Here is a 25382-nt window from a genome sequence, read left to right as displayed (position 1 = left end):
GACTGTAAAGAAGAACACACTTGGAATTGCTTTATAAATTTTTAAACTTTAAAGAAATGTCAATATTCTGGCATGAATTGAGAGATGTATAAGTACTGCTTGTCCTGACATATCACACAATTGACTTCCCAGCAATCCAGCCGCTGTGTTGGGCAGTGCAGACAATGCTGGCCATTTGGACATGACTGGCAGTGACAAAATACTGTCCGTAATGATGGTGCCTCTCTGGAAGGTCAGATGATGTTGTATTTTACCACGCTATGAATGCCCTTTGTGCAGCTGACAATCAAGAAGTCTCGAAAGAAAGTTGCTGTCATTTACAGAGTGTCAATGTGGTAGTCTTTGCCTCTCATGTTGGAAGCCTCAGGTCTGCCTCCATCAGTGAGGTGGGAGACACTAGGCTGGACCTTTAAACACATAAGCAACAAAAAGTACAGAAGCAGCGACAGCACAGGTGGCCGGGAATCCCATACTTGTATAGAATGCTGGTGGAACCTATTGTCATTCCTGGATGGAACCGCAGGTTTTTGGTGGCTTGTTGGGTTGTTCTCTGATGACTTGCTTTATTCCCACTTAGGTGAGTCCAGGCTAAACAGGGCTGATCAGGAAGCCCTCTGAAATGTGGGATTATGATGGGAAGGATTACCTCAGGATGTAGAGAAAGAAAAAATTGCAGAGATAGACTCAAAGTCAATCCTAACTGATTATGTAAAGGTGGATCCTTTTTTCTTTGAGACAGAGTCTCCTCTGTCACCCAGGCTGGAGTGCAGCCTGACTGTCACCACCCACTGCAGCCTCCACCTACTAGGCTCAAGAGATCCACCCACCTCAGCCTCCCAAGTAGCTGGGACCACAGGCAGGAATGACTATTCCGGGCTAGGTATTTTATTTTCAGTAGACATGAGGTCCTGCTATGTTGCCCAGGATGTTCTCAAACAACTGAGCTCCACTGATCCTCCCACTTCGGTTTCCCAAAGTGCTTGGGATTACAGGCGTGAGCCACTGCACCCGGGCCTGGATCCTTCTTGTGCAGCCCAGGCTGTTGTCCCAAATACTCCCTACTACCCACCTGATACGGTTTGGATTTGTGTGTTCACCCAAATCTCATATCAAATTGGAGGAAAGTCTTGGCGGGAGGTGACTGGATCATGGGGGCGAATTTCCCCCTTGCTGTTCTTCTGAGAGTGAATGAGTCCCCAGGAGATCTGGTTGTTTAAAAGTGTGGCACCTCCCAGTTTCCTTTCTCTCTCCTGCTCTACTGTGGCAAAACGTGCATAATTCCCCTTCACCTTCTGCCATGATTGTACGTTTCCTAAGGCCTCACAACCAGGCTTCCTGTACAGCCTGTGGAACTGTAAGTAAAGTTCTTTTCTTCATAAATTACCCAGTCTCAAGTAGTTCTTTATAGCAGTATGAGAATGGACTAATGCACCACCCATATTTTATTTTTAGAATATTTCATTTTTATATTTTTCATGTGACTCATACTAATTATTATGCCCCCTCTAGTCCTCACACAAATCTGAAAAGTAGAGGAACACTATTTGATCTCTTTGACACTTCATGTTATTTTTCCATGGCTCCTCATTTCTCAGACCCTTTATGTATCCACATTCTTCTCTCTTTTTAAATTTTATTTATTTTATTTTAAGGTCCAGGATACATGTGCAAGACATGCAAGTTTGTTACATAGGTAAATCTGTGCCATGGTGGTTTGCTGCACCTATCAACCCATCACCTAGGTATTAAGCCCAGCTGCATTAGCTATTTATCCTGATGTTCTGCCTCTCCCTGCCCCACCGACAGGCCCCAGTGTGTATTGTTCCCCTCCCCGTGTCCATGTGTTCTCATTGTTCAGCCCCCACTTATGAGTGAAAACATGCGGTGTTTGGTTTTCTGGTCCTGTGTTAGTTTGCTGAGGATAATGGCTTCCAGCTGCATCCATATCCCTGCAAAGGACATGATCTTGTTCCTTTTTATGGCTGCATAGTATTCCATGGTATCTATGTACCACATTTGTTTTAATCCAGTCTATCATCAATGGACATTTGGGTTGATTCTATGTCTTTACTATTGTAAAAGTGTTGCAATGAACATAACATGTGCGTGTATCTTTATAATAGAATGATTTACATTCCTTTGGGTTTATACCTAGTAATGGGATTGCTGGGTCAAATGGTACTTCTGGTTCTAGCTCTTTAAGGAATTGCCAGTCTTCCACAATGGTTGAACTAATTTACATTACCACCGACAGTGTAAAAGCATTCCTATTTCTCCACAGCCTCACCAGCATCTGTTGTTTCTTGACTTTTTAATAATCATCATTCTGAATGGCATCAGATGTCATCTCATTGTGGTTTCGATTTGCATTTCTTTAATGATCAGTGATGTTGAGCCTTTTTCTCATGTTTGTTAGCCACTAAATGTCTTCTTTTGAGAACTGTCTGTTCATGTTCTTTGGCCATTTTTTGATTTGGTTGGTTGTTTCTTGTAAATTTGTTTAAGTTCCTTGTAGATTCTGGATATTAGACTTTTGTCAGATGGATAGATTGCAAAAATTTTCTCCCATTCTGCAGGATGTCTGTTCACTCTGACAATGGTTTCTTTTGCTGTGCAGAAGCTCTTTTGTTTAATCAGATCCCATTTGTCAAATTTTGCTTTTGTTGCAATTGCTTTGGGTGTTTTCATCATGAAATCTTTGCCTGTGCCTATGTCTTGAATAGGATTGCCTAGATTTTCTTCTAGGGTTTTTATAGTTTGGGTTTTACATTTAAGTCTTTAATCCATGTTGAGTTAATTTTTGTACAAGGTGTAAGGAAGGGATCCAGTTTCAATTTTCTGCATATGGCTAGCCTGTTTACCCAGCACCATTTATTAAATAGGGAATCCTTTCCTCATTGCTTGCTTTTATCAGGTTTGTCAAAGATCAGATGGCTGTAGATGTGCAGTCTTATTTCTGAGATCTCTCTACTGTTCCATTGGTCTCTGTGTCTGTGTTTGTACCAGTACCATGCTGTTTTGGTTACTGCAGACTTGTAGTATAGACATTGGGTAGCGAGATGCCTCTAACTTTGTTCTTTTGGCTTAGGATTGTGTTGGCTCTATGGGCTCTTTTTGGTCCCATGTGAATTTTAAAGTAGTTTTTTTCCTAATTCTATGAAGAATGTCAATGGTAGTTTGATGGGAATAGCACTGAATCTATAAATTACTTTGGGCCATATGGCCATTTTCAAAATATTGATTCTTCCTATCCATGAGCATGGGATATTTTTCCATTTGTTTGTGTTCTCTCTGATTTCCTTGAGCAGTGGTTTGTAGTTCTCCTTGAAGAGGTCCTTCACTTCCTTTGTTAGCTATATTCCTAGGTATTTTATTCTCTTTGTAGCAATTGTGAATGAGAGTTCATTCATGATTTGCCTCTCTGCTTGTCCATTGTTGGTGTATAGGAATGCTTGTGACTTTTGCACATTGATTTTGTATCATGGGACTTTGCTGAATTTCCTTATCAGATTAAGGAGCTTTTGGGCTGAGACAATGGGGTTTTCTAGATATAGGATCATGTAGTCTGCAAACAGACAGTTTGACTTCCTCTCTTCTTATTTGAATACTCTTTATTTCTTTCTTTTGCCGAATTGCCCTGGCCAGAACTTCCAACACTATGTTGAATAAGAGTGGTGAGACATGGCATCCTTATCTTGTGCCAGTTTTCAAGGGGAATGCTTCCATCTTTTGCCCATTCAGTATATCTGTTGCAGGTTTGTCATAAATGGCTGTTAATATTTTGAGATATGTTTCGTCAATACCTAGTTTATTGAGAGTTTTTAACATAGAGGGATGTTGAATTTTATGAAAACCTTTTCTGGATCTATTGAGGTAATCATGTGGTTTTTGTCTTCAGTTCTGTTTATGTGATGAATTACGTTTATTCATTTGCATATGTTGAACCAGGCTTGCATCCTGGGGATAAAGCCAACTTGATGGTGCTGGATAAGCTTTTTGTTGTGCTGCTGTATTTGGTTTGCCAGTATTTTACTGTGGATTTTTGCATAGATGTCCATCAGGGATATTGGCCTGAAGTTTTCTTTTTTTGTAGTATCTCTGCCAGGTTTTGGTATCAGGATGATGCTGGCCTCATAACATGAGTTAGGGGGAAGTCCTTCCTTTTCAATTGTTTGTAATAGTTTCAGAAGAAATGGTACCAGCTCCTCTTTGTACCTCTGGTAGAATTCAGCTGTAAATGTCTGGTCCTGGTCTTTTTATGGTTGGTAGGCTATTTATTACTGCCTCAATTTCAGAACTTGTTATTGGTCTATTCAGGGATTCAACTTCTTCCTGGTTTAGTCTTGGGAGGGCGTATGTGTCTAGGAATTTATCCATTTCTTCTAGATTTTCTAGTTTATTTGCATAGCCATTTCTTCTAGATTTTCTAGTTTATTTGCATAGAGCCATTTATAGTATTCTCAGATGGTTGTTTGTATTTCTGTGGGGTCAGCAGTGATATCCCCTTTATCATTTTTTATTGTGTCTATTTGATTCCTCTCTCTTTTCTTCTTTATTAGTCTAGCTAGCAGTGTATTTATTAATTTCTTTTCAAAAAAACACCTCCTGGATTCACTGATTTTTTGAAAGTTTTTTCGTGTCTCTGTCTCCTTCAGTTCCACTCTGATCTTAGTTATTTCTTGTCTTCTGCTAGCTTTTGAGGTTGTTTGCTTTGGGATTTCTAGTGCTTTTAGTTGTTATGTTAGGATGTTAATTTGAGATCTTTCTAGCTTTTTGGTGTGGATATTTAGTGCTATAAATTTCCCTCTTAACACTGCTTTAGCTGCATCCCAGAGATTCTGGTACATTGTTTCTTTGTTCTTTTTGGTTTCAAATAACTTTTTGATTTCTGCCTTAATTTCATTATTTACACAGAAATCATTTAGGAGCAGGTTGTTCAATTCCATGTAGTTGTGTGGTTTTGAGTGAGTTCCTTGATCTTGAGTTGTAATTTGATTGCACTGTGGTCTGACAGACTGTTACAATTTCAGTTCTTTTGCATTTGCTGAGAAGTGTTTTACTTCCAATTATGTGATTGATTTTAGATAAGTGCCATGTGGTCCTGAGAAGAATGTATATTCTGTTGTTTTTGGGTGGAGAGTTCTGTGGATATCTATCAGGTCCACTTGATCCAGAGCTCCAGAGCTGTGTTCAAGCGGTGAATATTCTTGTTAATATTTTTTTCTTGTTGATCTTTCTAATATTGACAGTGGAGTGTTAAAGTCTCCCACTATTATTTTGTTAGAGTCTAAGTCTCTTTGTAGGTCTCTAAGAACTTGTTTTAATAAATCTGGGTGCTTCTGTATTGGGTGCATATACATTTAGGATAGGTACTCTTCTTGTTGAATTCATCTCTTTACCATTAAGTAATGCCCTTCTTTGTCTTTTTTGATCTTTGTTGGCTTAAAGTGTGTTTTGTCAAAAACTAGGATTGCAACCTCTGCTCTTTTTCTGCTTTCCATGTGCTTGGTAAATTTTCCTTCATCCCTTTATTGTAAGCCTATGTGTGTCTTGCGCATGAGATGGGTCTCTTGAATACAGCATACCAACGGGTCTTGACTATCCAGCTTGTGATTCTGTGTCTTTTAATTGGGGCATTTTGCCCATTTACATGTAAGATTAATATTGTTATGTGTGAATTTTATCCTGTCATCAAGATGCTTGCTGATTATTTTGCAGACTTGTTGATGTTGTTGCTTCATAGTGTTATTGGTCTTTGTACTTCAGTGTGTTTTGCAGTGGCTGATAATGGTTTTTCCCTTCCATATTTAGTGCTTCTTTCAGGAGCTCTTGCAAGGCAGGCCTGGTGGTGACGATTCCCTCGGCATTTGCTTGTCTGAAAAGGATTTTATTTCTTCCTCATTTGTGAAGCTTAGTTTGGCTGGGCATGCAATTCTGGGTTGGAAATTATTTTCTTTAAGAATGTTGAATATTGGCCCCCAATCTCTTCTGGCTTAAAGGGTTTCTGCTGAGAAGTCCATTGTTAGTCTGATGGGCTTCCCTTTGTAGGTGCCCTGGTCTTTCTCTCTTGCTCCCCTTAACATTATTTTCCTTAATCTCGACCTTGGAGAATCTGATGATTATGTGTCTTGGGGTTGATCTTCTCATGGAGTATTTTACTGGGGTTCTCTGTGTTTCCTGAATTTGAATGTTGGCCTGTTTTGTTAGGTTGGGGAAGTTCTCCTGGATGATATCCTGGTATGTTTTCCAACTTGATTCCATTCTCCCTGTCTCTTTCAGGTACCCCAATCAGTCATAGGTTTGGTCTTCTTACATAATCCCATAGTTCTTGGAGATTTAGTTCATTCCTTTTCATTATTTTTTCTCTAATCATCTTGTCTGCCTGTCTTATTTCAGCGAGATAGTCTTCAAGCTCTGAAATTCTTCCCTCTGCTTGGTCTATTTAGTTATTGATACATGCGTTTGCATTGTGATGTTCTTGTGTTGTGTTTTTCAGCTCCATCAGGACATCGCTTCCTCTCTAAACTGGCTATTATGGTAACAGCTCCTGTAATGTTTTATCATGGTTCTTAGCTTCTTCACATTGGGTTAGAACATGCAACTTTAGCTCAGCAAAGTTTGTTATTACCCATCTTCTGAAGCCCATTTCTGTCAATTTGCTCATTTCAGCCTCTGTCTTTTTCTGTGCCCTTGCTGGAGAGGTATTTCAGTCATTTGGAGGAGAAGAAACACTCTGGTTTTTTGGGTTCTCAGCATTTTTTTGTTGATTCTTTCTTATCTTCATGAGGTTGCCTAGCTTCAATCTTTGAGGCTGCTGACCTTTGAATGGGGTTTTTGTGGGGGCTTTTGTGTTGATGCTGTTGTTGTTGCTGTTTGTTTGTTTTTCTTTTAACAGTCAGGCCCCTCTTCTGTAAGGCTGCTGCTGTTGGCTGGGGTTCCATTCCAGGCCCTATTTGCCTGGTCCTTCCCGCACTTGAAGGTGTCACGCATGGAGGCTGCAGAACAGCACAGATGGCTGCCTGCTCCTTCCTCTGGGATCTCTGTCCACACAGAGCACTGACCTGATGCCAGTGGAAACACTACTGTGTAAGGTACATTGGGGGTTCTCACCCAGTTAAGGGGCACGAGATTCAGGACTCGCTTAATGAAGCACTCTGGCTCCCCCTTGGTGGACGGGTTGTGCTGTTCTGGGGGGAATTCCACTCATTTGGGCTGCCCAGATTCCTCAGATCCAGCAGGGGGAAAGACGAAGTCTGCTGATCTGTAGAGACCATGGCCACGCTTCCCTAAAGGGGCTCAGTCCCATGGAGATCAGAGTTTTGTCCCTAAACCCCTGGCTGGAGTTCTGAAATCCCTGCAGGGAGGCCCTGTCCGGTGAGGAGGAATGGGTCAGGGTCCAGCCTAAGGAGGCAGTGTGGCCATGATCTCCCACAGCTGCTGTGCTGCGCTCGTGGGGAATTCCTCCTGGGTCCAAACCGTCCAGTCCCCCTGGCACCAGCAGGAAAAACATGGCAGACTGGAGCTGCAGTGATGGCTGCTGCCCCTCTCCCCAGGAACTCAGTCATCTTAGGCAGCAGGCAGCATAGTGATGGCAGACACCCCTCCCCCTGGGGACTTGGTAGTCTTAGGGAGCATCCAGCAGAGCAGCTACCGGGAATCGGCACAGCTTTGTGCTTGGGACCCAAGGCCTTGGTGGTGTGGACTCACAAGGGAGATCTCCTAATCCACAGGTTGTACAGATCTATGGAAAAGCCAAGCTGCCCTGACAGGGTAGCACAACCTCTCACTGCCTCCCTTGGCTGCCAGTAGGAGCTCCCCTTTCCCTCTGTGGATCTCAGGTAGGTTGTTGCACCACCCTGCTATTTCTTTGCTCTCCACGGGTCATGCCAACTGCCTAGTCAGTCCTAATGAAAGAACCTGATACCTCAGTTGCCGGTGCGGGATTCACTTGCCATTTTGATTCTTCTCTGTGGGAGCCTCCACCACAGCTGTTTCTAGTCAGCCATCTTGGCCCCTCCCCCACATTATTTTCTTAATGTTCCAATATGGTTTTGCTCAGTTCCCTAGATTTTCCTATTCCTGTCTTTGGACAGAGAGAACCAATGTTGGTATCTCATCTATATCATGTTCTAAAATCAATAATGGCTACTGGCATTTATTCTAACTGGCCTCTTTACTGACAGTTTCATAGCCTGGGAAAGGAATTGGAGCATAAGAAATGTACTGTTCTCTCATATTTAGAGCTCATTCAAAGCCCCAGTAGATTCTAAGTCATTGGGAAATCATCAGTGTATCTCTGTGCATTGCCACATCTTTATAATCTTTAGGCAGAATTTATCCAAATTGATGCATTGGTATCCAAAGATGGTGAATAAAAATGCAAACTAGATGGGTACACATTACTCATTTACCCAATATTTAATACTAGAAGTCTGGTGCATATTACTCCAAATTTTATCCAATTGCTTTTATCTCAAGTTTAAAATGACTCACAAATATTCATATAATTAGAAAGTCCAATTATTTCAGTTAGATGTATATTCATATAATTAGAAAGTCCAATTATTTCAGTTAGATGTGTGCTTAGCAGAAGGTGTCTAAGACCAAACAAAAATCTATTTGTGCACATTAAAAGATTCTGCATTTTCCCATTTTCTGTGATCTTGTATGTATTTTAAATACTAAAGGATTAAGAAGCTTTAAAAAAAAGATTGTCAAGGGTTAACCTGCATACATAAATAAAAGTGTTAATCTGAGAGAAGAAGATTTGAATTAGAAATGAGATAATTAAAAGTGAAGATATAATGGAACAAATAAGTAGATAAGGATGAAATATTTAGGGCTACCAATGAAGACAGTCTTAATAAGTTTACCATGCTATCTCATTGATTAACTTAGTGCCTACAAATTGCATATTCTTAGTGGAAACAGTAGGAAGTCTATCAGTAATGTGGTGTAAAATAAGAAAGCCAACCAGCACTTTACTTGATACAATATATTTGGGCCAATCACCAATGAACCATGACAGTAGAAACCACATTTTTAAATTAATTAATTAATGGTGTGCCCTTTAAATGACCCTGGTGTCTTTGATATTACTTTCATGGCTCTTTACATTCTAGCTCTTGATCGCCTTTCACACAGTTTTCATAATGGGCATTAGTCTGTATTGCTTCATTTGCACGCAGAGGAGGCAATCTCTGCAGTAAAGCAATAGGGGATGCATTTCCTGTTCTCCAATGTGACTTCTTTTGCATGAGGTCCCAGGAGCAAACTGGGGACTATAATTTCTTTAAAATGGATGTAATAATATTTCCACATCTATTACTTTGAAATGCTGAGTGTGTAATTATTCCATCTAATAGGAATAGGACATCTTGGTGTTATAAAATTAATATAATTCATGTTGGAAAGTACACCAAGTGTTTAAAATTATTACCACTATCTTAAGTCTTATTTCTAAGTCTCATTTATTTTCTATCAATAAAAGTATTTGACTTCCCTTTTTTGTTCCGAGCTACTTAGAGAGGGACTTTAATAGTGAGCTGTTGTCTTTGTCATCAGGTTATATATTTTTTTTAGTATATTTTATTCCCAAAAACAAGCAGTTTTCCAAAAATACTTAAATGTTTCTCAAGAGTTTTAAATACTCCCTGGCTATACCTAAGAACACTGTGACTCTATACAAATAAAATTTCACATAACTTTGGATGGATGCTTTACTATTCTGTTTTCAGTGTGTTGATCCAAAAATAACCATTAAAAAATGTCTACATCACCTGGTTAATTCAACAGCGTTGAAAAGACACTGTCTCCATCAGGGTCTGGCCTATTGTGTCCTACCCCAGGTGACTTGTCTTATAAAGACAGTCCAGATGGCATGTTCTGCCTGTTTCCCTATACCTGATAGTGAAGCTGCAAGAATGAGAAAGTATCTGTGAAGTGTTTTGAGATTTCCAGGTGAAAAGAAATCTATAAGTGAAAAGCATCATTGTTATTATAAATGGAAATATCACGAATGCCTGGGAGGTAATTCTAGAGTCCTGATCATTTTCCAAAACATAGCAGTGCCCTTTTCCTCCCACTATCCATGATCAAACAAAGAGAAAGCTCTCTCCTTTTATCCACCAAAGTGGATGTAGGGAAAACTTAAACATTTGTGCTTTGGATATTGTATTATAGATGTCCCTAACTGGCTGCATATAAATGAACATTTACTTTGACAGGTCGTTCAATATGTTCCATGCTGTCCAGCCAACATACAGTACGAAATGAAATTACAGGGCAGCACTTTCTATCAGTAGGAATATATAATTACAATGTATTTACCATGTGTATACCTGGAAGCTTTATTAAATTACCATGTAATTAAAAGGCAGTATGTCCTTCACTCAAGCTGCTACTTTTCCCAGTATGTGTGGAAGGTTCCTATAAATGTTAAAGAAACACTGATATTTTATATAGCCGTTGAGAACACAGATGAATAATCTAAAAGTAAGTGAATGCAGGTTGTTTTTATTAACCATTCATTGGACTTTAATTAATTCCCATTTTAATTGTTTCATTATTTCAGGCAAAAGAAGATAATGCTCTTTCTGGTGACCAATCACTCAGTTGGATAACTTGGTAAGTAGTTTATTAGACTGATAATATTTATGTTACCTTCTTACTTTGTTCTTTGTACTAAATTTTAAAAAGTACCTTTTGGAAAACTTGTTCCTGAAAATACCAGGCTTATAGACTGCACTAGGTTCTGTTCCACTTCACAGATCCTAACCCAATGGTAAAAGCAGAATGACAAGTGGTCAGATTTATTATGTATTTAAGTATACAGATATTAAGGAGAGAAATAGTAGATGGTGGCAAAAGAGCATTCAGTAATAAAATCTAGCAATAATTTTCTACTCTCCCCTCCCTCCCCCATATTTGGTTACTACATACTCTAGAGCAGAGATTATGAAGATCTTGTTTACTGTGTTTCCAGGGGATGACTAAGTTTCCAGGGGATGACTAAGAACAATGTATTTCAACTGGAAATGCTTAAACAGTCCAAATTTTAATTTACCCTCGAAAATATTAAAAATATTAGGGGGAAACTAATGGCTGCAGCAGAAATTTGCAATTCAAATAGCATTCATTTTTTTCTTCTGTGCAGCAAACTGCTTTCATTCAGAAAAACAACAAACAAGGCAAAGCCAAACAACCCTATATATGCTTTGAACACCTACCACACAGAGTAATGTTGAAGTGGTGCTAATTGTTGTATCACTATGATTTCTCATCTAATTTTATCAATGCTTTGCAAGGTACAGTTAATGCTTTAAAAGATTTTGAATTCAGTAATAATTACCTGGCCCTTTCTCATAATCTTGCCATGATGATTCTGATTCTTAAGGTCCTATATGTAATGAGATACTTGTATGTTAACATTGATTGGGTGCTGTTTCATCTTTTCTACACTCATAATTGGGCCTTCAGTAAAGGAGTACAACAGGAGTAATAGCACAGTTAAATTTCCTCTCAGGGTTTCTTTTACCTTCGGATGTTATAAGATTTGCACTGTTTATTTTTTCATCAAAGCTTATTAAAAATATCACATATAGATAATGCCACAATGCTCCAAGTCAGCTAAATAAATGGTGAGGTCAGCCATCTAAAAAACACATAAAGATGAATGTAAAAATAGACAAAATCGTTGGAGATCCCATCTTATAGTTCCACAAAAGAGAACCACCTGGAATTCTGCACAAGCTGGAATTTATAATGTTTCAGGCATCTCCCAGGATTCATCCCGTGATGAAAATAGCTTTGTCAGGTGCAAAGAAAATTTGGCAGAGAGGAAAATAAGTGCTAGATAGAAGATCAAATAAAGAAGAAGTAATTTGTGTACATCATTCTAAAAGAAGTTTGAAAAGTAAAAATAAAGGTAACAGAATATATATTGGAATAAACACAAAATTGATGATTTCTCTGAATGAATAGGTTGCTTTGTGATTATCTAGATGGAGTCTGAAGGGCTACATGTGAAAGGTGTGCTTCAATTTCCTCCTCAACACAGACACAAAGTTTTGCACATACTTGTGTGCCTTTGCATGGGCATGCATAACTTTTTTTTTTTTTTAACTGGAATACACTTGTATTTGGAATAGTGACAGACAGACAGGTTTGGTAGAAATAGTGAATAATTACTTTTTTGTTTTCTCTCTGATTGATTGGGTTCCAATAAAGATACAACAAATAAAACACGAATGAGTGTTTCACATATACATTCTTTTAGATTTTTACCTATGTTTGTATGTATTTTTCCCATTATTCCTCTTTTTTTCTTTTTTTTATTTATTGCCTCAGAGGAGGGATACAAAATAGAAAATGTGCAGAGCCCCCTGGCTTTGGTTTCTAAAAGCCTATAAACCCTTTCAGAAACAAAGCCTTCAGAATCTCAGTGAAATAATGGGGAGAAACATAGAGTAAAAAGGACCTTGCCATTTTAGACGAAAAACAGATTTGCTTAGCCAGTGAAGCAGGCAGAAAAGTAACATAAGGAAAGACACTGATGGATTGAAGAAAAAGGAGCTTTTGCCTTTCTCACAAACAGCTCTTGAAAAGTGCGTCCTGTAATATAAGGCAGATTAGACCACAGAAAGTCTTCAGGAAATTCCTATATCCCTGGTGTGTCCTAGTTGCAGTAGAGATAATCCCATTAACCCAACATTGGCAGGGAAACATTAGAGAGGATTGATAGACAAATTTTGCCAGCAGAGCACCGTCAATCTGTGCAGACCAATGAATAGAAGAATAAAAATTCACATTTGTCAATTCCTGAGCAGTACATATTCAAGTCATTTGAAATACCAGAAGCACTCTAAAAAGACAGACTGTGGTTCAATTTTCCCATCAAACTCCATTTTCCCAATCCTAGCAGATGAAGGCTTGAGATTAAAATAACTGTGTTTGTAGAACACAGTAAAATGGTTACTGTATACCTGAGATTGTAAACTGTTGATTTTGAATGCAGTTAGGCTCAGTTCTCAAATGGTGTATTTTCTTAGGTTAAGTTCCCATGAAAAGAGAAGTTAGGGACAAGGACGTATTTGCAGACAGTTTACTTAGGAAGTCATCCCAAGAACCCAGAGTGAGGGAGAAGGGGAAGTGAGGCAGAAAAAGAATAAAAAGCAATATAATGGTATGTCACTGTGGGTTACTGCTGCTGTTAATAAGGGCTTGATTCTTTTGGGGTTTCTGAGAAACATAGCAACAGCCTCCCAGAGTTGTTCACTGGCTCCCATACCCCACTGATGAAAGGTGGATTCTTGTAGGGGAAGTTTAAACTTTCACGCTGACAGTTCAATGATCAAGTCCTCCTGCTGAAATAAACTGGCAATAGACAAATTACCAGAAGAAAAGTCATACAAATTTATAAACATGTACATGAACCTGGAAGTCTCAAAAATGTGAGATTCAGAGAAAAGCCAGATGGTTGAGGCTTAAATACCCTCTTAATAAAAATACCCTCTTAATAAATAGGGAAGAGGGAAAAGGGAGAGGTGGGCACTTGTGAGGGGTAGCAAATGATTTTTAGGGGAAAATGAATGGGCCTAAACAGACATGGCCTGAAATAAAGTTTTTCTGAGCTCTAGGGGAGGTGGTGAGAAGGTGCGGGGAAGAACTTCACTGTGAACAAAGTTTTCTTACTACACAGATAAAGTCTCCCAGGTAATCTCTTGAAGCTGCTCTCAGAACAGATGAAAAGTATGTGGGGCATAATGTGTTTTAGTCTTTTCTGCTGTAGTTAATCTTTCCTGGTTATTTGATGAGATTCCTAGGGAGAGAGTCTTAAGACAATTGCTTTCTTTTTTTTTTTTTAGAAGAAATTTTTATTAGATAAGGGAACATTCAGAGAGATCACCTCCCTGCACTTGGGGAGGAAAAGCAAGACAAGGTTAGAAAGTCCTTGTTTCTGAGGCAGCTTCTAAGACCTTCCAATTTCCTTCAGTTCAACAGTGCTCAGCATGCCAAAGCACCTTACTTTGAGAGTCTCATTCTCTGTGCCCCAGCACTTCTGAGAACATTAACTCTTATGTCTGCATTATGTTTTCACTTAGGATGATTGGAATTCTGTGGCTTTTGAGAAGGCCCGGAAGCACAAAAGCAGAGAAAGGCACACAGTAGGCGTGGAAATATTCACCACCATGGCATCGAAAATTAGAGTTGGGCCAACCAAAAAGGATAAGGAACATAAAAAGCATCTGCTATACTCCCATCATTTTATGACTCAGGTTCACTTTTGCTCAACATTATGTACATTTCTTATTGATTCTTGCACATAGGGCCAGACACAATCTCTACAATGAGCTTAAGTAAGGAAGGATTAGTGGAACATGCTACAGGCCCTACTGTTACAAACAGTGCTGAAACCATGTAAACTCCTCCTTTTCCTGTTTTCACCAATTGTACATTCAGTACAATTTTGCCAGCCCTTTAGCTGTGCTGTATTACTTGCATGCTGAGGTGACTCAGCCCTCATCCCTGAGGGATCCCAGCACCAGGTTTCCTTGGCTTTGGTAATCTGTAGCTGCTGACACAAAAGCATCAAGAAAATCCCCCAGTGAACTTCTTGAGTCCTAAAGATGTTTTATCCTGCCTCCCATTATGAAGCAGCAACCCTTGCTCTTAGGAAAAGCAAGGTAAAAATAAAACAGTATGAATAGTCCCAAGGTGATCAGAATGCAGTTATAAGTTTAAAGGAAAATTTGTTGTATTCCCTTATGGAAGCACCTCCCACTCCCAACACACACACTCACTCTCTCTCTGTCTCTCTCTATTGGCTACCAAGGCCTCTACTCTAAAAGAGGATGAGAAATACAAATGCTGAAAGTGGCTCACTAGGAGTAATGGTGAGAAAGATCAATTTTTCTTCCACAACTTGACCAGCAGAACTGTTTATTTTATATATATATTCTAGCCACTAGAGACTAAGCATCATATATTGGCTACTAGTTTATTGCATATATTGTATTCTAGAAGACAGAAACCCAAATCTGTGGGATGCTATTCTTGAACTTTAGAGGAGCTTTTAATTGGCCTAACATTCTATTAGACTAATTTCATGTAAGGTGGCATATGGTAAGATAAATGAGTTATGTGATCATGCATTAATTGTTATTTTTTCTTTACTTTAAACTTGGCCAATTAGTCTGACATGATGTTATACAACAGCAGTCTTCAACACTTTTGGCACCAGGGACTAGTTTCATGGAAGGCAATTTTTCCATGGATTGGGCATGGAGTTGGGGGGGCTGGTTTCAGGATGATTCAAGCACATTACATTTATTGTGCACTTTATTTCTATTATTATTACATCATAATATATAATGAAATAATTATACAACTTACTATAGTGTAGAATCAGTGGGAGCCCTGAGCTTGTTTTCCTGCACCTAGATGGTCCCATCTGGGGGTGAAGGGAGACAGTGATAGATCAGCAGGCATTAGATTCTCATAAGGAGTGTGTAACCTAGATCCCTCACATGCATAGTTCACAACAGTGTTTGCACTCCTATGAGAATCTAATGCTACTGCTGATCTGACAGGAGGCGGAGCTCAGGTGGTAATGCAAGCCATGAGGATGGCTGTAAATACAGATGAAGCTTTGCTCATTTGCCCGCTTCTCACCTCCTTCTGTGAAGCCTTGTTTCTAACAGGCCATGGACAGGTACCTGTCCATATGATGTTCCCTAGGGGTTGTGGACCCTTGTTATACAATATTCCATGTCAATTATCAAATATTCTGTAAATACTATGATCATGCTGCTGTAAAATCTCTTTGAGAAGAAAAACCTATGCCTAGAGTAAGTGTCAAGTCTAATAAGGATCCATAATTGCCAGAGTCAAAGGATCTAATATCAGCTTCACACCAAGTACCAAGCTAGTCTCCTCAAGGGATTTTGCCACATCAAAGTCTCACACTTGGATTGTGCTTCTGATATGCCTGGTGTTCAGCCATTTCGGTAGCTGGATCAGCTTACTTAAGAAGGAGACTTTGCTCTTGGGACCATACACTGACTTCATTCAAGATAAATATACCTTTTCTAAGCCTATTGCACAAGCAATAGAGTGACAGAACACAAACGCTGGCTAGAGTCCACTGAATGAGTAATTCTGTATACCTGCTATTGGGCACCTTCTTTGCAGTGGTATTTCTCTGATGTTTATTTATATGATACACAAATATCCCATATATTTTATGCCCATTTGTGTAAATTCATGCATAGACATCTACCCAAAGCTCCTTAGATATGATGTTCCCGTATTTTTTTTTCAGTCCACTGACCACAGCGAAGCTATTTGCAATTTTTCAGGAGTCCGTATGCATCCCAACCTCATATCAATTCTCTTACCAAAAACACTGGCAAAAAAAGATGTACGTTTAAAGTTGTCCACTAAAAACAGTTAGTGTTATTTAGGGCCACTTCTGGAACAAGCTTTAGAGGGGCAGAATAACATTGTCAGCTTGCACTGATATAGTTAGACAAAGCATCACCCAGCAAGCCTGAATGCTTTCTTCTCATTCACCTGGTTATAAGGAATGCTGCACAAGGCCATAGCCATGACCACTGGTGCAACCTACTGAAGCAGTATGGGTGTCTGATCTATGTGTTCATGAAACTGACTTTCAGTCTCTAGACCTGCTTGTGTGTGTTTCTAAATGAAATGTATTATTTTCATCACATGATAGATTGCTCATTATTAGCATAAAGTTATCAATAAAGAGTTCAAATACAGTGTTCTACAGAATGTGAAGATGATTAACATTCCTGTGGTCTGTATTATGATGGAGATCAGAAGAGTTACCTTAGCCCTGAGTCAACTGAATGTATATTTCTGTCTTTCCCACATAATAAAAGCAAACTGAATTGTATCCTCCTTATTGATGGGGTTTGAAAAGACCATACTATCAGGTAAACAATTCCATACCAAATTGTTGATGTATTCCGAAAAATAAATCATCCCTATCAGAAAAGTTAAACCACTTCTATATCAGAAAAGTAGGATATCAGTTTATTCAGTTTTTATAGTAATTACTAGTCACCCAAAACAATCCTCTAATTTTTGTAAGTGTTATACATTCTTTAAATTTTTGAAAATGGTGTTCATCTATAACATGTAATGGATTACAGGGTACCATTATACTTCAGGTTTCACTGTGAGAATGAGGATTGTTTTAGAGGCTTACATTTGGCCCTACCTACCGTAATATTAATATAGGGATCATGAAACCAATGTGAGAATCCTGGCAGCTGCTAAAAAATCAACTCCAATTATGCTCCTCTCTATACTGCACAAAATATTTAAAAAGTATTTGAAGACACTGGAGAAGAATCAAAGCAGGAAGAAATCTGAGGAATACGATTCTTGGAAAAAGAGATGCACTAGGTAAGCTTCATACTTACCTGCCTTTCTGTTTGGGGGTAAAGTAGGGAATCCCCTTAAACAATATGTTGCAGTCTTAGTGGACAGAGAAGAAAGAGTCATCTTTCATGGACTCTAGATTTTGTGCATTACTGGAATTCAATAAAAAAAAGTATGATTACTTTTTTAAAAAGGATTAGTTATTTTAAAACTAAGAAAAGCAATAAAAGTGACTCAATAACAAGTTGTTTAGATATTAGAGTTGAAGCAGAATTTTAACTATTAAAATGTATTAAAATAGAGGAAAAGATTATCAAAATTGAAGACAACAAAATAAAAAAATCTGGTTTAGAACTTAAAGCATATATGCAGAATCAAAGGCCCATTGAATGGATAGTTGAAAAGTCTGGGCACAGTAGAAAACAGGATTTGTGAATTCAGTGACAGGTCAATAGAAACATATCTAGACTGAAGCACAGAGAAAAATAAAATGTAAAGAATAGAACAGAGTGTAAAAGGTATGTGATACATAGTCAAAGGCCTAACGTGTATAATTGGCAGCCTATAAAGGGAGGAGAGAGGGAATGAGGAAGAAGCAACATTTGAAGAAATAATGACTGAAAATACACTAAACTTGACAAAACATCTCAACCCACACATTGCAGAAGATCAGTGAAGCCAAAACAGGAGAAATACAAAGAAAAATCCCACTTAGACGCATCATAGCCAAATTGCTAAACATCAAAGTTAAAGAAAACCTTAAAGGAGCTAGAGAAAATAGATACATTATCTTCAGAGAAGCAATCGTAAAACTGGTGTCTGGCTTTTCAACAGAAACTATGGAATCTGAAAACAATAAAATGACATTTTTTAAAGCATTGAACAAAAAAAGAACTCTAATCTTAAACTCCATACCTAGTGAAAATATTCTTCAACAGTGAAGTCAAAATGAAGACTTTTTCAGACAAAACCTGAGAAAATTGATCATCAGAAGACCCATGCTGCATAAAATAAGTGAAATCCTAAAGAAAGTTTTTCAGGCTGAAAGAAAATAATTTCAGATAAAGGCTTTGAACTACATGAAAGAATGAAGGATTCCAGAAAGAATAAAGTTGTGACAAAGACTTCATGACTAAAACACCAAAAGCCATTGCCACAAAAGCAAAAATTGATAAAAGGGATCTAATCGAACTAAACAGCTTCTGCACAGCAAAAGAAACTATCATCAGAGTAAACAGAAAGAATGGGAGAAAATTTTTGCAAGTTACCCATCTGACAAAAGTCTAATATACAGAATCTACAAGGAACTTGGAACTTAAACAAATTTACAAGAAAAAAACAACCCCATCAAAAAGTGGCTGAAGGGTATGAACAGATAATTCTCAAAAGAAGACATTTATGCAGCCAAAAACATATGAAAAAAAGCTCAAAAGCACTGGTCATTAGAGAAATTCAAATGAAAACCACAATGAGATACCATCTCACGCCAGTTAAAATGGCGATTATTAAAAAGTCAGGAAACAACAGATGCTGGCGAGGTTGTGGAGAAATAGGAACGCTTTTACATTGTTGGTGGGAGTGCAAATTAGTTCAACCATTGTGGAAGACAGTGTGGTGATTCCTCAAGGATCTATAACCAGAAATACCATTTGACCCAGCAATCCCATTACTGGGTATATACCCAAAGGATTATAATTCACTCTACTATAAAGATAGGCACAGGTATGTTTATTGCAGCACTATTTACAATAGCAAAGACTTGGAACCAACCCAAATGCCCATCAATGATAGACTGAATAAAGAAAATGTGGCACATATACACCATGGAATACTGTGCAGCCATAGGAAAGAATGAGTTCATGTCCTTTGCAGGGACATAAATGAAACTGGAAGCCATTATTCTCAGCAAACTAACAGAGGAACAGAAAACCAAACACTGCATGTTCTCACTTATAAGTGGGAGTTTAACAATGAGAACACATGGACACAGGGAGGGGAACATCACACACCCGGGCCTGTTGGGGGGTGGGGGGCAAAAGGAGAGAGAGCATTAGGACAAATACCTAATGCATGTGGGGCTTAAAACATAGATGATGGGTTGGTAGGTGCAGCAAACCACCATGGCACATGTATACCTATGTAACAAACCTGCATGTTCTGCACATGATGTATCCCAGATCATAAAGTAAAATTAAAAAAAGATGTGAGTAAATGTGAAAGAACACTAACTGTATAAAACAATAATAATAGCTATGTCTTGTGTAACAGATATAGAAGAAAACTATATGATAGCCAAACCACAAAATCAGGAGGGGTAGAGTTAAACTTTTAAAGTTTCTTGCATTGTTCTGGAAGTGGTAAATACACTAATAAAAAGGCAATAATTAGACAAATATACACATCTTGGATATCTACTAAAAGGACAACACAAAAATTACTAAAATTCAATAAAAATTACTAAAAATTTTTAGTAAATTACTAAATTACTAAAAAATTTTAGTAAATTACTAAAAGTTACTAAAAATTCAATAAAATACTTATTCAATTATAATTTTGTAGTCAAAGTAGGGGAGAAAAAACCATAGGGTGTAGCTGAGGGGCCTTTGCACACACTGTTAGATGGAAGTTCGCCATGACCATATTTATCACCTGTCATTTTATAAGCTCCCACCAAATCAGAGCTCCATGATGGTATTTTGAGTCTCCTGGCGTCAGTGTCAGATCAAACCCTGTATCTGTCACCTCTCATAAGTTATGTGATTAATGGCTGCAGGTCCACTTGCAGAAGGATTGGCAGGTTGGTTATTGTGTTGACTTTCAATGGCACTTCATGGTCCCTACTACCCAAGTAGAAATTGGCCTCCCATCCAAATGGCAGGATCTGTATCTGAAAACTGGAGATGGAAATACTTTTCTCTTAAGACTGCTGACATCAGGCTTCTCACAAGCTCTGTCATTTTTCTGTTTTTACAAGTCAAGCAATACGCTCATCAGCTGCTTCTCTATCTTACCCAAGAACCCCATGTTTTCTTAGCCATTAACATAGACCTCTGCATGAAAAAGCACCTTGGTTTTTGCTTTAGTCTTGCTGTCATTAGAAGAAAACTGTTCACTTTGCCTTTTATGGTTGAGTTTCACCACATGGTCTCTGTTATTTCCATTGACACTAGGGAACTAAGCTCCAAGGCAACTCTCTCACCACCAACCCTGCGGTACAGAGGACAGTCACCCTAAACCAAGCAGGAGTTCTCACAACCTAGACAGTTCCCAAGAAATTACCCAGGCATTTCTACTTTACTCACAAATCTGAGGGTCCCAAATAAAGGTCCAGACTTTACCCTGGGCTGCCTGTCGAGGTTTTACGTTATTTATTTGGCTATTCTGCTAGCAATTAAACTCTGAGCCTAATTTTCAGCACAGCACTGACTTCACGGAAAGACCTCTAACAATGCCAAGAAGATCTTCAGACTTTATCATGTTCTGATACTTGAGACCTTATCATTCTCTTTCTTTCTTAAAGTCTTTTAAGAAATTTAACAAAAACCACCCACCTCCTAATTTTTATTGCCATTGTCCCACACCATTCAAGGGCTAGAACTAATGCATAAGTTAATATGTCCTCTTTCAATTGTATTTAATTTTAGTCCATCATAGGTGAGGCTCTTGGTGGTTGTGATATTGCTTTACACATCAGAGGTTATCATCATTCTGTTTATTTCCAGTAAGAACTCATATCTGAGCAGTGAGAGATCCAGTTCCAAAATCCCACCTCAAGAATAAGTTTTTCAGGACCACGTCTGGGACAACTGTCTTTGTTTAGGCATGCTCAATTATAGAGCTTGAAAGAAAATTTGTGAGGGGAACTATAAAATAGTTGAGAGAGAGAATGAAAAAGAAAAATTTAAATTAAGGACAAGTATTCAAAGTAGGTCTGAGGGTAACAGGGACTCAATTCTACTGGCCCTTCTGAGAAGCATACAAAATACCTCCCAGTATTATATGTCCAATAAGCATGAGAGCACCCACCTACTGAGAGTTGCTTCTGGAAGCATTAACTCCTCTGCATTTTAGGACTGAAACAAATATGTAAACTGAACGAATTTCTCAATTTTAGGAAAATGCTCTGAGGTTGAAAAGGAGAGAGACGTTTTCATCATTTGAAATGGAAGTCTTTCAATATGCATGAAACTATCTACCACAGTTGGGGCTAAAATCAAAATAGGCCCAAGAAACCAAAATCGTGTACAAACTAATATGCTTACACACAGGGTTCTGGATCTGCCTTAATCAGGGTCTTTGCAAACAGAGTGAAAATTAAAACATACACATTAGACCTTATTGGTTTACTCAGTCACGTGAGATGACTTGGAGCAGACAACTACCGTACATTGAAGAATCTGCTGAGGAGAAGTAGAGGGATACTTTTTGGCTCTCTTCTTCCATTTCTCTCACCAATTACCCACAAGGCTTTAAATTGCTGCATTTCCTAGCTGTTGTCACCAGGCCTCTCTGGATATGAGTGTGGAAACTAGATGCTGTTCTTAATGGAATGGTGCTTTATCTGAGTGACTTGGGAGTTGAGTCAAATAGGAGCTTCTGTGTGTCTGGTTCTTTCAGGCTTGATTACTAATGCTACTTTTGCTCCCACCAGAGTTGACATATGGATACCATGCCAGAAAAGGACTCTAACTTCAGAAATCAAAACCAACTGGGACTATTAGGTGATGTAACAGCAGTAACTGAGTCTCCTTAATGACCAAGTAGGGACTGGGAGGCAAGTATATTTGGTATGCAAATAGATTATTTCTTCTGGGGCCTATGTATCAATACAATCAGTACATACAATGCATATATATGTCACTCACAGGTTATAAGTTATTTCTAATTTATAATCAGATATCAATTATATCAATTCTATTTTCCCTTCAAGGAGCAAATGTACAAGTTTTAAAACAAAGTAAGGCTGGTGCTGTTTTCTATTTATGTTATTTCTTTCTTTATTTTGTTATGTGATTGATTGGCTTTTTTGCCCTGGGTCTTTATGGCTGTGGACCCAGGAAATGCATAAAATGATGCCCTTGATAGGTGAATCTATGTTAAGCTGCTGTGAGACATGCCTGGTCACTCAAGCTGTGCTGTATTCCAATAGAACTTTGGTGAAAATTTCCTCATTTAAAAAGTCTTATGTACCATATTGTGGTAATATCCAGGTCAATGTGAAAGTTAAACAGCAAAACTTATTAAAAAGTGGAAACCTTTTATGGCTATTTGCTGGTTTGTAGCATTTTAATTTTTCCCCTTTTCTTTTTCTAAATAGGTGGCAAGATATATTGCATCCAAGCTGAGAACTTAAGAAAACTACCCATAATGACATCACAATTATATGTGTTGCTTCAATTATTAGTTTACTCAATCACCAGTTCCCAGAAGATATTATTGAAAGGGTTACATTATTGAAATGCTAAACAAAGGTGGTACTTGGTACCATATGTACTTGAGAAAACAAAATCTGACTGGTAGGAAATTTTTATGCGTGCCATTCCTCTTTGAACTTGACATTAGGTCTGTTTGTTACACAAGAATATATCTGAGTCCTGTCTGAGATAAAGGATACTACTCTGAAGATGCAAAGAATATGTGGACCTTAAGCTGGCCTTACAATACTCTTTTCTTGTTTTAACGTATTGCAAGTCAAATTTAGCCTGACATTTTATCAGATTGTTTAATTTCAGGAATATGCATCCAATCATTCTGATGGCTCTTTCTTTAAAATTCTCCATGATTTTTTCTTTTTTTTTTAAATTAAGTTGGCAGAACAGAGATCCAACCCTTATTTTCAGTAAAATCAAAGCAATTGCTGATTAGAAAAAAGGGAAGAAACATTCAAACCTCATGATGATAGATGATATTACCAACCTTGAGCTTCATATAGTTACCCCCTAAGTTCCTTAGCAATGGATAGATTGAAGCATCCTTTAAATCCCGTTCCCTTTTCTAGTTTGAGTAATTGTTACAATGAGATTGCCTAGCGTATTTGTCTCCAGAAGTCACATGTACCATATCTTCAGGCATCAAAACCTTGGTTTGCATATGCAAAATGTCCCAAATTTGATATAGTTCAGAATCACATACAAAAGTTATGAGGCCCTAGTGTAAAACTTCTGGAATGGTGGAATGAAAATCTTTATAAATCAGCTCCTCATAAAGCAATTAAATTTCTGGCAACATTGTCAAAATCAAAATTTTCACAACTCAGGAAATTAAAAACAAAATCAATAGACACTGTCTCAGCAGGCATCCAGATGCTGGACTTAGTATACAAGACTTTACATTTGACTCTTATAAATATGTTTGAAGAGCTAAGAAAACATTGCCTAAAATATGACAATGATGTCTCACCAAAAAGAGAATCCTGGTTAAGAGACAGAAATTTGTAAAAGAACCAAATATGCATTCTTGAAAAATGAGGCATTACCAATCTTATAAAAATAAAATGAATTATAACAAAATAATATGACACATCAAAATCATCACTATCCAAAGACAAATACAAAGAGAGGATTTTGAAAGCAGCAAAAGTGGAGACTCATCACAGACAAGAGATCCTTAATATGATTAGCAGGTATTTATAACCAGAAACCATGAAGGCTGTAAGGAAGTGGGAAAACATATTTAAAATGAAGAAAAATTTTAAAAATCAGGAATTCTCTACTCAGCTATTATCCTTGGAAAATGAAACAAAATTATCCTTGGAAAATGAAACAGAAATTAAGACATTCCTGCCACTAACAGATATTCCCTACAGGAAATACTAGTGGGATCTCATCAAGCCAACATGAAAGTATGCCTGAATCCAAATGATAAAATTAAGCATATCAGTGTGGCAGGCTGAATAATAGCCCCTAAAGATATCAATTTCTTAACCCCTAGAACCTGTAAATGTCGCTCTATTTGACAAAAGGACTTTGCAATGTGTTTAAATAAAGAATCTTGAGATGGAAAAAGTATACTAGATTACTAGGTAGGCTCTAATTATAATCACAAGTATTTTTATAAGAGGCTCTAATTATAATCACAAGTATTTTATAAGGAAGACTCGACTACATAGGCTGAGAAGGCAATGCGATGATGGAAAACAGATTGGAATGATGCGCTACGAAGACAAAGGAAGAGGCCACAAGCCAAGAAATAGGGTGGGCCACTAGAAGCTGAAAAACTCAAGGAAAAAGATTCTCACCTCAGAGCCACTAGAAAGAACTGGGCCTGCCAAGAAATGTACTTTGGCCAGGGAAACTGACTTCAAGCTTCTGATCTCCAGAAATGGGATAGAACAAATGTATGTTGTTTTAGGCCACCAACTTTGTGGCAATTTCTTGCAGGTCAATATAGATAAATATAAAGGAGAGTAAGTATAAATATATATTTGTAACTCTTCTGTCCGATTTAAAAGGTAGCTGTATAAAGCAATAACTATAAAAACTCTGTTGGGTTCTACTGTATAAAATTGCAATATGTATTACAGAAACAGCACTAAGGAAATTGAAAGGAATGGGGCTATATGGAAAAAATTCTGTATACTACTGAAATTAAATTAGTAATAAAACTAGATTTTTTTTTGTTAAGATGCTAATTGTAATACCCAAGGCAACGACTAGGAAAATAACTAAAATATACAGAATTAAAGAAACAACAACATAATTAAAATAGTAAACTAGAACATACCTAGTTGACATTCAAAAATTCAGTAGTGTAGAAATGGAGAAACAAAAAAGGCAGGACATATAGAAAACAATCGGAAAATAGAAGACATGAGTCCTAATTTATCAGTAATTATATTAAATTATCTCATTGTTTCTTTTATTCATATTTTTAATTATTATCTTAGTGGCTGCCTTGAATATTATAATTAGTATCTATATATCACCACATGAAGTAAATCTAAATTAATGTTGACTGTACAAAATACTCTTACT

The 25382-nt window shown here is 37.8% G+C and overlaps 1 long non-coding RNA gene across 2 annotated transcripts in view; it reads left to right on the top strand.

Moving 5' to 3' along the window:
• Positions 1-22183, top strand: part of LOC105378469 (uncharacterized) — a 39631-nt gene extending 17448 nt beyond the window's left edge. For both annotated transcript variants that reach the window (XR_007062381.1, XR_007062382.1), the window contains exons 3-6: positions 6896-7091; positions 7731-7838; positions 10574-10626; positions 22061-22183. This is a non-coding gene — a long non-coding RNA (uncharacterized LOC105378469). The remainder of the gene's footprint in view (positions 1-6895; positions 7092-7730; positions 7839-10573; positions 10627-22060) is intronic.
• Positions 22184-25382: the final 3199 nt, after the last annotated feature.

The sequence above is a fragment of the Homo sapiens genome, chromosome 10 (assembly GCF_000001405.40).
Source record: "Homo sapiens chromosome 10, GRCh38.p14 Primary Assembly".
In the NCBI taxonomy this organism is placed as follows: domain Eukaryota; kingdom Metazoa; phylum Chordata; class Mammalia; order Primates; family Hominidae; genus Homo; species Homo sapiens.
The sequence above is the reverse complement of the archived record's forward strand: the minus strand, read 5'-3'. Positions and strand labels throughout refer to the sequence as shown.